Here is a 12165-nt window from a genome sequence, read left to right on the forward strand (position 1 = left end):
CATGTAGGTATTATTTTTGGACACATTATACAGATTGGGAAACTGAGGATCCAAGAGCAAAGTTACACAGCTAGGAAGTAGCTGAGTCAGATTTCAGACCTAGAGAGTCAGATTTCAGGGATGACTTGTGGACTGACGTTCCACACAAGTGAGTACATTTCATCCATGTCTTGAAGGGGTTCAGAACATGCAACCTCAAAATATGTCACTTTGGTAATTGATTATTTTGAGTTGAAGGCATTTAAGAAATAGCAGACATAGGGAGGGTGCTCTGACCTCCTCTTCTACCTAAAAGCAGGTTGTAAAATTTCCCACGAGAAAGGGGCCATCTGTATACCTGGAAGAGAAGAACATTCTCATCACCAGAGAGTAGGAGTTGATAATGAGATGAACCTGTACAAACACACCTGCTAACATAGCCCTTGTCTCCCACTAGTTGCTCCCATATAATTTCCTAGTCACTTTCTCACAACTTACCACCCCTAGAAGCTTGAAACCCTTTTCCTTTGTATTGACACATCTTTTCAAATTAATCATTCTTTTGTTAAAAAGGCATTTAGACGCTCGGTCCGAACCACTTCTTATGGTCTTCATCTCTCCTGTAAGGCTCCTATGTACGTGTAAAAATATCATATATAATCTGTGTGCTTTTCTCTGTTAGTCTGTCTTATTTCAACTGGATTCTCAGGCCCAGCCACAGAACCTAAGAGGCAGAGGAAAGTTGCTTCTCCCCTCCAGTCTTATTTTTTATTGAATTATCTGAATGATCCCATTCCACGCGATCACGAGTGAACAATAGCATCTTATTCGGTAATGTTAGAAACCATGGCTCTAAGGGGGAGCTAGCTCTTATTTAAAGAAAATAACCCTGTTCAGAATGAAGCTGTGGCTAGTGTTAACTCAATAAAATATAACGCTTCTTGGGAATCTGCAGGGCTGGTGGGAAAAGCCATTGAGGACCATGGAGTGAGGATAAAAGGTTTGAGGAGTCCAAGTGTTTTCAGGACAGGATTCTGTGTGGCCAGATGGTTCAAATGGATGCAAATTCCCCAAATGGCCCACAGGTACATTGGGTGTAACTCGGGGCTTAACCACATGGCTGCCTGTGGGAGGCTCAGCTGGAAGCAGAAAGTCTGACAGGTCCTTCCCTTGCCTGGCTGAAGGTTGTCTGTCCTCCCTGAGGGCAGGGACCCACACCTGCGGAGGAGAAATTAAATAGTGAAGTGAAGTTAGTGGCAACCTTGGGAAAAAGATGTGTCTTTTGGTGTCTTCAGGGTAGATTTTGTACACAGAAAAAAAGAGTTATTCTTCAACCTTTTAAGATCAATTTGTGTATTTCACTGCTTTAAGTCTAGCAAGTTCCAATAATTGCATACTTAATTCTAAGTATTCCTGAGATTAGAAGATGTGTACTCAGTAAGGAAACTAATTTGCCACCCTGCACAGTGTTGGAAGCTGCCCTCTTGGCTTGGTTGAGCCAGCACAGTGACCAGACCTTCATCTTCATCTTCATCTTCACCCCACTGGACACGGGCCAGGGCTACAGAATGCTGTGTTTATAGGAATCCTTAATCAAAGACTCCACATCTTCAAGAGGGGTGTTGTCTCCTAGCCTGTGTCCCTGGATTCAAGTTATGCATCTTCTCATTCTCCTGTCTACATACACTCCCATGCAATTTGATTGCCTGATTGGATTTTGTACTTTATTGGCTCTTAAAACACAGAAATATCTTTCCTATGTGATTCTAATGACGTTGACCTTAATGGAATGTTGTATTTTTTCTATATAATTCCTAAAATCACCCAGCTCTTGCTAAGTTTAAAATAATCTCTGATTAGTTTTGTCTATTCGGTCACCACCTCCATCCCACTGATACCAGAGAAAGGCAGGGCATAACGTGCACACTGTAGACCTGAAGGAGGAGACTTCATCAGTTTTAGGAAAACAAAGACGTAATTCCATAGTCAGAACACAGGGAAGAGATTTATCACATGGGGAAGTTTTGGGCAATGTAGCCCGACTTGGAAACCTCAAGTCAGTTTAGGGAGGGAGGAAATGGCAGCCCCGAGACGGTTGCTCTTTGCTGGTATAGGATTTGGATGAATGGTCATCTCTAAAGGAGGACAGGAAAGGCACATGATTGAGTATGGCATAGATCTGGAAAGATAGTGTTAGAAAGGCCAAGGATGAGAATGATTTGGGACTTGAAACAAAAATGCCAAGGATGGCCAGAAGGCTTTCTAGCGCTCGGCAGAGCGAGAATGACAAGGATGGCTTGGGGTCAAGCCTGTGTCAGTCATGCGCTCCTGTCTAGAGGGCCTCAAGGATTATCTCTGCTCCATGGTTAACCTGGAGTGAGCTGGAACTAAAAGGGAACCCTCGGGAGTGCACACAACACCATCATTCCAGAAGGAAGAGATTTTTATGAAGGAGTAAAGAAATTTCATGTAAAATGGATTCTGACAAATCACTTTTCTACTTTGTGAGGGATTCTCCTGTTCATTCTTCCTCTACTCTCTTTGATCTAATGCTGCTGGGTTAGTAGGGCCTGGGGATTGAAATACAAAGGCAGCCCATGCTGCCAGCTAGCCTCGACCTGGCACTGAAGGTTAAAAGTTCATGCATTGCTGTGAAGTTGGTACATTGCTCATCCAGGTCATGGGGTTGGAGGCCAGATGTGGATGTGGGGCTGCAGCCCTGATTAGTGCTAAAGAGTGTGCAATTGGCGTGTCTCTTATCTCTGAGAAGCTGGAGGTGAGTTGGGCACAGAAGGCAGCTAGAAGGACTGGATCCACCGTTTCTTTCCAAAGGAAACAGGTATCTGTTCTGGAAGATGAATCTGATGAATGTAATTGACACGGAGAAAGTAGAATGACTCTATTCTTGCTTCTGTTTTCTTTCAGAGAAGAGACTCTCAACAAGAGTAGTAGAATACATACTGATAAAAAGTGAATTGGCACTGAGCGCCTGAGCTCCTCTAAATGACTTCAAGTATCTTGAGGCAAAGGAAATATTTGCCAAGTGGATTCTCCAAGTGGGTTCAATCCAACCATTGTGGGTGGATTTGAGGAATTGTGGAGGACAGAAGGGAGTTGTGTTGGAAGTTTGGAGACCTACAACGATAGTTTTGATTTTAGAAAAGGGAAAGATGGCTTCCCCCTCCCCTAAATTATAGACTGGTGAGCTTGACAACAGAAGCCAGTCAAGATTCTAGAAGAAATTATTAAGGGAATTACTTGTGACCACTTAGAACTGGAAGTGATCAATAGAGTTAATGTGGGTTTAGTAAGAGTAAATCAAATCTGATCTTTTTTTTTTTTTTGAGATGGAGTTTCACTCTTGTCGCCCAGGCTGGAGTGCAATGGCATGACCTTGGCTCAATGCAACCTCTGCCTCCCAGGTTCAAGCGATTCTCCTGCCTCAGCCTCCAGAGTAGCTGGAATTACAGGCATGTGCCACTGTGCCCGGCTAATTTTTTTTTGCATTTTTAGTAGACATGGGGTTTCACCATGTTGGCCAGGCTAGTCTTGAACTCCTGACCTCAGGTGATCCACCCACCTCGGCCTCCCAAAGTGCTGGGATTACAGGTGTGAGCCACTTCACCCGGCTCTAAATCTGATCTTATTTCCTTTTTTCTAACATAGTTGTTAGACCCAACTGTCAATTACCTAGTTAGAGTTTAACAAAGTATCTGACAGGGACATAATAATCTCTATACAGAACAGAGTACTATAAGCAAGGGTTGATATAATTAGATAGATTCATAACAGAATCGCTACTCAAAGGATGTTGATTAATTGACTTGGTCTCCCTGTATAGGGTTTTAATGGTGGCCATAGGACATTGTCAAACATTCAAATATGCTGTCCTTGGCATTTTCCTGTCAAAGCTCAAATGCAAAAATGCACACAAAGCCAAGGAGAGAAAACAATTTGGATGAAAGCATAATTTTGAAGAGTGCATAGTAAAAGTTGTGGGCCAAGACCAAATTATTTATTGATGTATTTTATGTGTAGACAAGACAGTGGAAACAAATAGACCCAAAGTGTTATAATGGCTCCTATACAATGGAACTGTAGTGCTTCTTCACATAACAGCCTGAGGTGCTGTTCATGGCTGGCTGATGACTTCCCATGAGGACCCGGCTTCTTCCATCCTGTGGGCCTCCCATCCCCAAACACCTCATTTGCATCCACCTCCAGGTGTGCATTCTTAAGAGGAAGCATGGAGGAGGGACCTTTACTTTCTTTTAAAATAAACTTTATCTTTTTTTATGGAATATTTGAAATGTGTAAAAGAACAGAGGTCTAAAGTTCACTCCAAATGCATATCATTCAGATTCAGCAACAATCTATTTAGGACCACCCTTGTTTCATTTCTATTCCTCCCTTTCCTACCCTACTGGATTATTTTGAAGCCAATCCCAGCCATCATCTCATTTTTATAGGTAAGTTTGGATATCTGAAAGAAAAGGACTCTATTTTTTGTAAGCATGGCTATGACACCATTATCACTCCTAAGATACTGACAGTAGTTTCCTAATATTGAACACCTTATCAATGTTCAAGTTGCCCTGATTCAGATTCTCTCTCTTTCTCCCCCTCTCAACACTTTATTTGAATCATGATTCAAACAAGGATGTTCACATTGCATTGGTTGATAGGTACACATATGTGGTTTTTGGATGGTGGGGGATTAAGTCTCTCTTAATCTATACATCTCCCTCCCTCCCCACATCTGTCCTTTTAACTTATTTGTTATTGGGTCACTTGTTCTGTAGAGTCTCCCAGTTTGGATTGTGCTGGTTGCATCTCCATTATGTAAACATGTTCCTCTGAACCAATACTTAAATTTAGAGTCTTGTTGAGATACAGGTGATTTTTTTTGGACAAGTTTAGTTCATAGATGGTGTGTGTTTTTACTATTGATGATCACAGTGTACATTCATTATTTCATTAGGGGTTTGTAAAGTGGTGATATTCTAATTCTATCATTCCATCCTCATTTATTAGAGTTCTTCTATAAAGAAAAACATTTATCAGCAACTATGTGGTGTTCTGAAGTCACACTTGCTTTTTAAATACCTCGACTTCCGTTCATATTGCGTTGGCTAAGGCTAAGTCACCTGCAAGGGAGGCTGGGAAGTGGATTCTTGCTGTGTGTCTGGGAAGAAGAGGAAATGGATCTAGAGCACCAGCTGGCAGTCTCTGCCACAATGACATAGCAAAGTGAAATTTACCTGGATCTATTTAAGGTCCATGTATTAGGGTTTCCAGAAGGACAGAATGAATAGGATGTATGTATATGTGAAAGGGAGTTTATTAAGGAGAATTGACTCAACGATCACAAGATTAAGTCCCACGAAAGACAATCTACAAGCTGAGGAGCAAGGAAGCCAGTAGTGGCTCAGTTTGAGTCCTAAAGCCTCAAAAGTAGGGAAGCCCATAGTGCAACCTTCAGTCTGTGGTTGAAGGCCCGAGGGCCCTCGGGCAAACCACTGGTGTAAGTCCAAGAGTCCAAAGGTCAAAGAACTTGGAGTCTGATGTTCAAGGAAGCATCCAGCACAGGAAAAAGATGAAAGCTAGAAGACACAGCAAGCCAGTTTATCCGACCTTCTTCTGCCTGCTTTGTTCTAGCCATGCTGGCAGCCGATTGGATGGTGCCTACCCAGATTGAGGGTGGGTCTTCTTCTGCCAGTCCACTGACTCAAGTGTTAATCTCCTCTGGCAACACCCTTACAGACATACCCAGAAACAATACTTTATCAGCTATATAGGCATCCTTCAGTCCAATCAAGTTGACACCTAATATTAACCATCACAGTCCCTAAGCCCAGCTGCCCCATTTAGAATGAGAGGGATATGGCTTAGCAGTGACGTGAATGGAAAAGACTGGGAGGAGTTGGTTGACCATAAACTCAGTGAGGAAGGACTGGGCTGTAGCTGCCAAAAGAGGTAATAGAGTCCTGGGCAGCATCAACAGCAGCAGAGCTGGTGACATTGCTGACTTGTTGACAAACCATGACAGGTGCCAAGAAGGGTAGTCAGGGTCGTGGGGGATGCAAAGCCCTATCCAGGGAGGAGTGGTTGGAAGAGCTGGAGATATTGAATCTCAGGACTCTGATGGGACTTGGGAGGATTCTGAAGGGCTCTTTTCTGGAAAAGGGATTACGCTGGATCTGAGTGGACCTAGGGGTGAATCAAGAGTATTGGGGAAGAATTACATGGAGGCAGATTATGGTTGAACACAGGATTTTTTTCTCCTGTGGGTATGATTTAATGGTCTTAGCTCTGTTATGATAGAATGGGCTGCCCTGGAAAGACTGTGTTCTCCTTGCTCTTGAGGTCATGAGGAGGGATTTGGCACCATGTAACAGAAAGGGGAGTCAGAAGTAAGGGTGGATGGGTGGCTACCCTGTCCCTTGATCTCCTGTGTCCCTCCAACCCTTGAGAGGCAGAAGATCAGACAAGCTATGGGGAATCTAGTACGTGATAACTGAGCGGAATTGCATGCTATGTGTTCAGCAAATGGCCATGCAGTCTGTGGGCAAGAGTATATATATAATCATTCACTTTTAGGCAATTCTTTTCCCCTTTTTTGTAGTCATAGATTTATTGTGTATAATTAATATATAAAGCACATATTTAATGTGAATAAAGCACAGTTTGATGAGTTTGGACATATGCCAATACCGGTACCATCACCACAGTCAAGGTAATAGACATATTCGTCACCTCTCAAGGTTTCCTTGTGTTCCTCTTCCCTTTTGTTTTTTTTCTTTTTTTTACTGTGTTAGGAGCACTTAATATAAGATCTATCCTCTTAAACTTTGAAGTGCATAATGCTGTGTTGTTAACTATAGACACTGAGTTGTACAACAGACCTCTAGAGCTTATTCATCTAACATAACCAAAACTTTATAGCCATTGAACAAGTCCCCAATTCCCCTCACCCACAGCCACTAGCAATCTCTTGTATTCTCTGTGCTATGAGTTTGACTATTTTAGACACATCATATAAGTGGAATCGCCTATGTAGTATTTATCCTTCTGTGGCTGGCTTATTTCACTTGGCATAATGTCCTCCACGTTCATCCATGTTGTTCCAAATGGCAGGATTTTCTTCTTTTTTAAGGCTGGATAATATTCTTTGCATGTACACAATATGTTTTCTTTATCCATTCATCTGTTGATGGATGCTTAGGTGGTTTCCATATCTTGGTGATTGTGAAGGATGCAATAGACACAAAAGGGCAGATATCTCTTTGAGATCCTGATCTCAATTCTTTTGGAAATGTATCTAGAAGTGGGATTGCTAGATCATATTATAGTTCTATTTTTAATTTTTTGAGGAACCTCCATACTGTTTTCCGTAGCAACTACACTATTTTCCGTTCCCACCAACAGTGCAGAAGGGTTCCATTTCTTGACCTTCTTGCCAACATTCACTTTTTGTTTTTTTGATGATAGCCATCCTAACAGGTGTGAAGTGGTATCTCATTGTAATTTTGATTTGCATTTCCCTGAGATTCTTTTGTTTCTTATGGAAAGCAATTATTGTTCAACTTTTGGCTGAACTTTTAACTTACAGAGATAAAAAACATTTGGGGGGTGGTAGAAAATACACTTGACAACCAATTTTTCTTTATTGACAAAAATTTGTACATATTTATTTTGCACACATGCTGTTTTCAAATATGCATACATTGTAGAATGACTAAATCAAGCTAATTAATATCTACATTTCCTCACGTACTTACTTTTTGTGGTAAGAAATAACCAGTTATTTCTGAGTGTGATCTCAGTGGCTGTTTGCTTGTTTGTTCCCTCTCTGTGGAGCACGTCTAAGTGCCAGCCCTGCCCTATGTTCCTGGAGACATAGTCGAGCAACACGTGGGACTCTCTCTTGAAGCTTGCAGAGGGAGGTAGAGGCAGATGTGCACTGGGGTAAAGATGCTTTCATGTGGAGGACGTGTGTGTGCAGCTGGGGGAGTGAGGAGGAAGGCTGAGCAGGGTGGGCAGGGACGAGTGTGGGTGTGTGGGTTGGATATTAGGAAAAGCTCAGGGAATCATACCGGGGAGGTGCTGTAAGAAACCTTGAAGGATAAGTAGAATTAATCAGACAGGTAGGGGAAAAGGCATTCCCTGGGAGTCACTTCTATGGGGACAACTTGCACAAAGGGAGGGAAGGTATAAGCATGGCATTTTGGGACATGGTGGTACAGGAGAGCAGGCTTAGCAGGCAGGGCATGCCCTGGTGAGACTGGAGGTGAGGCTGGAGGGTTGGCAGGGTCTGGACCAGAAGGGGTGGGGATCCATCCTGCAGAGCTGAAGTTCTCCCTGAAGGCCTCTGACTTGGTCCCTTGGGTGAAGAAGTTGCTGTGGACCACTAGGCTGGGAGTGGGTGCCCCCGATTCTGGGTCCTGCTTTTCAGTCACTCACCTTTCGATACAGCCCACTTGCCTATACTCCACCTTAGTTTCCACATCTGCAGAACAGGGAGGATGAATTAGGAGAAGCACGGTGGCTAGATTGGAGTCAGATATCCTGGGTTTGAATCCTGCCTCCAACACTGATTAGCTTTTATTTAACCCATGTGCCTCTTAACTGGTAAAATAGGAATAATCATGGTACCAACCCCATGGGGTTACTATGGGGTTTAAACAAGAGGATTCTTGTAAAGTGTTTACCTATCACAGTGCTTGGATTTAATTGAGTGCTGATTGCTCAATACGTGGTGGCTGTTATTATTATACTAAGTGGTTAATACTGCTGGGTGCCATTTCAGACCACACAGTAGCGTGTGGCAGCAGCTTCTGTGACTTTGCACAGGATGTGGGTCATGCCAGCTTTGTATCCCAGGAGAGCTGTGAGGTGGACTGGCTTGGAAGGGTCATCCTTGGGGAAGCTCTTCACCTTCCCAGGATGCCTGCCGCTACACTTCTGAGGCAGGAAGCCCGGGGCCCCCTGTCTGGGAGTGGAGAACTTCCTGTGAGACATCTCGCCATCAAATCCCACTAGTTAGAGCCCCAGCTCCTGTTTGTAAATTCCTGTCTGCTTCTCTCCTCTCTCTCTACTGCTCACTCTCCTGCCTCTGACTGCCCACTTGCCAGAACATTTTTCTTTGGACATATTTCTACATCCTATAGCTATAATTGCCATGGGAAGTTTCGTATCAGCCTCCTCTTAAAGTCAATTATCAAAAGGATATTAATATCTGATAATGACTAGAGTTTTTCTTTTCTTTCTTTCTTTTTCTTTTCTTTTTTTTTTTTTTAACTCTTAAGAGGTCTGGAGATACAATCCCTTCTACCCCAACCCCAAGGAATTAATCCTAATGGTGGATTTTCAGACTCAGTCTTGGGTGGAGGCTGAGCAGCCTTTCAAATTTCAGCCTGGAGCAGCTGCAGTTTAAAAGAGTATTTGCCCTCTTTTTCCAGCGAAGCTCCCTCTCCCTCCTGCGTGTGCAGAGTTGAGACGGGTGTGTGTGTGAGATCCAGGTGTCCATGTTTACTGAAGCTGGGACAGCTCTGAGCCTGGTTTAATTAAGTCTGTGTCTGATTCTGTTTCCCAAGTTCTTAACTGTGGCAGAAAACATCAACTAATAAAATGTCAGGAGAGTACAGCTTCCCCCAGTAGACCCCAGAATCATGTTTGGTGATCATTATGGTTGTTTCTGTGGGCATGCCTTTCTTCCCAAGCACTCTGCCTTATGAGGGGGGTCCCTCAGAAGCTGGCCCTGAGTCAAGGATTCAGGTGTGAGTGATTTATGAAGGAGGAAGGCAGAAGGGAGTGGGATTCATAAAGGATGTACTCCTAGGAAAAGGGAGTTGTAGAGGCAAAGATGGGAAGAGAGAAAGGGGCCAAGCAGGGGTCTGACTGGTGAAGAACCAGCTGCAGCCTGAGCCAGAGGGGAGCTCTGGAGTGTGAGTTGCACCTCAGAGTTTGCCTACTGGAGGAAAGCGAGCCTAGCCCTGACACTGGTCAGCCAGAGGCTACCAGCCACCCCAAGGGATACAGATGTCCAGATATTTCCACTCTCCACATAGGGAGGTGGTCCCTGAAGCCCAAGGGTAATGCTCTGCTCTGCGTGGCTTGTAGTTATGAGCTGTCAGTGGGGGCTGGAGCATGGGAACACAGCACCAGGAGGGGGATCCGAGGGCATCCGGGTGGGGTCAGTGGTGTCTGCTGCAAATGTTCACCCCCTCCCTCCCCACAGGGCACCTGCAACAGGCTCATTCAATGTGGCTAAAAAACTATTAGACATAAAGTGGAAGACAAGGCTCTCCAAGCACATGTTGGGGCTCAGGACACAACACCCCAAAATGTGACAATAGGAGCTCAGAATATGCCACCCAAATATCCCTTTTTAGCATATTGATTAGTTTCAGCTGGTTATTTTGAGAAACTGCAGACCCAGGAGTAGATCTGAAAAGTTGCTCTTTTGTAAAAACAATGGACCTCTCTAAAGGGAATTTTCATTAGTCATTAGAGCTGCTCTGACAGCTTTTATTATCTGAAAGACTTTCATCTGCATAACAAAACAACCTCTATTCACCATATATTTCCTTCCCTCATCCTCTGTATTAGTCTGTTTTGCATTGCTATAAAGAAATACTGGAGCCTGGGTAATTTATAAAGAATAGAGGTTTATTGGGGTCACAGTTTTGCAGGCTGTATAAGCATGGTGCCAGCATCTGCTCAGCTTCTGGGGAGGCCTCAGGAAGCTTTCACTCATGGCAGAAGGCCATGGGGGAGCAGACATGTCACATGGTGACAGAAGGAGCAAGAGAGAGAGAGGAGGAGGTGCCAGGCTCCTTTAAACAACGAATAGAGTGAGAACTCACTCATTACCATGGGGAGAACACCAAGCCATTCATGAGGGACCCGCCTCATGACCCCACCTCCCACCAGGCCCCACCTCCAACACAGGATCACATTTCAATATGAGATTTGGAGGGGACAAACATCCAAACTATATCAACTTGTGTTGCCCCTCCTACCGCTTTCTGTAGCTTAGGATGCTGTATAAGCCTCAATCATCTGGCCACTTCCTTGAATCTCAAATGTTTGTGGGACTCCATTGCATGTGTACATATTAATATGACTTTTCTCCTGTTAATCCATCTTCTGTCAGTTTCATTCCTAGACTAGCCAAAGGCCCTAGAAGGGTAGAGGGAGGCATGTGTTTTCCTCTCCTACATACATTTCAGGAGATGTCACAGTAGGACTTCATTAAGGTAGCGAATAAGCGCTACATGTCTCCAAAACAAGGGGAAGGCTTGGCCGATTATTCTGTCGAGACTGGAAGATAGCTCAGGGAGAATTGATGCTTTCCCTGTCTGGACTGTATCCCTCCTGGGCTGTGGTTATGCATTTGAGACTGAACAGGGCTGGCCAGTGTTGTGTGAGCCCAGGTACTGGAAAGCCTCTGGAATTGAAATCAGGATTGTGTTTAATTCTTTATGGTCCTGTGCCTGTCAGCAGCTGGTTTCATTTATCTTCAATGAGAGTCTACATTCCTCAACCATCCACTTATGCCCAGTTGACTGTAAGACCAAGGGACCCATCTCAGACGTGAATCTCTGAAAGCAGACTTGTATTTTATGTAGTTCTAGCTTGTGCAGTGGTTCAGTAGAAGGAGCTTTCTTGTCCTATGTTTGCTGCATATTGTGCAAATAGAAATTTCCTGAGACATACATTAGTAGTGTGTTAGTACACACTATTGCTGGTTGGGTAACACTAATGTTTGACATTTACAAAAATTAATTCAATTTACTGTGACTTAGAACAGGGTAAACCAGAGCAGTGAGTTTTTGTGGAGTTCCCAGAATTATTCTTCAGGTCCAGCTTGTCTCCCTAAGACCCCCCTTTTATTTGTCTCCATGACTCAGTGTAATTTCCATGACAGAAGTTGTCTTTGAAGGTAAACTTTCAGATATTTTTGTCTGCAAATTAAAAAATTTCTCGAGACAAGTAACACTCTAAAAACCAAAAAAAAAAAAAAAAAAAAAATTAGGATATAGTCTAACAAGATTAAGGCATGACTAAAGCTTACTTTTCTCTCACATAACAAAGTCTGGAGGTAGGAAATTCAGGATTGGTATGGCACTTCCGTGAAATTGCCAGGGACCCAGGCTTCTCTCAGGTCTCCCCTCTGCCAAT

Source organism: Homo sapiens, chromosome 10, assembly GCF_000001405.40.
Source record: "Homo sapiens chromosome 10, GRCh38.p14 Primary Assembly".
In the NCBI taxonomy this organism is placed as follows: Eukaryota; Metazoa; Chordata; class Mammalia; order Primates; family Hominidae; genus Homo; species Homo sapiens.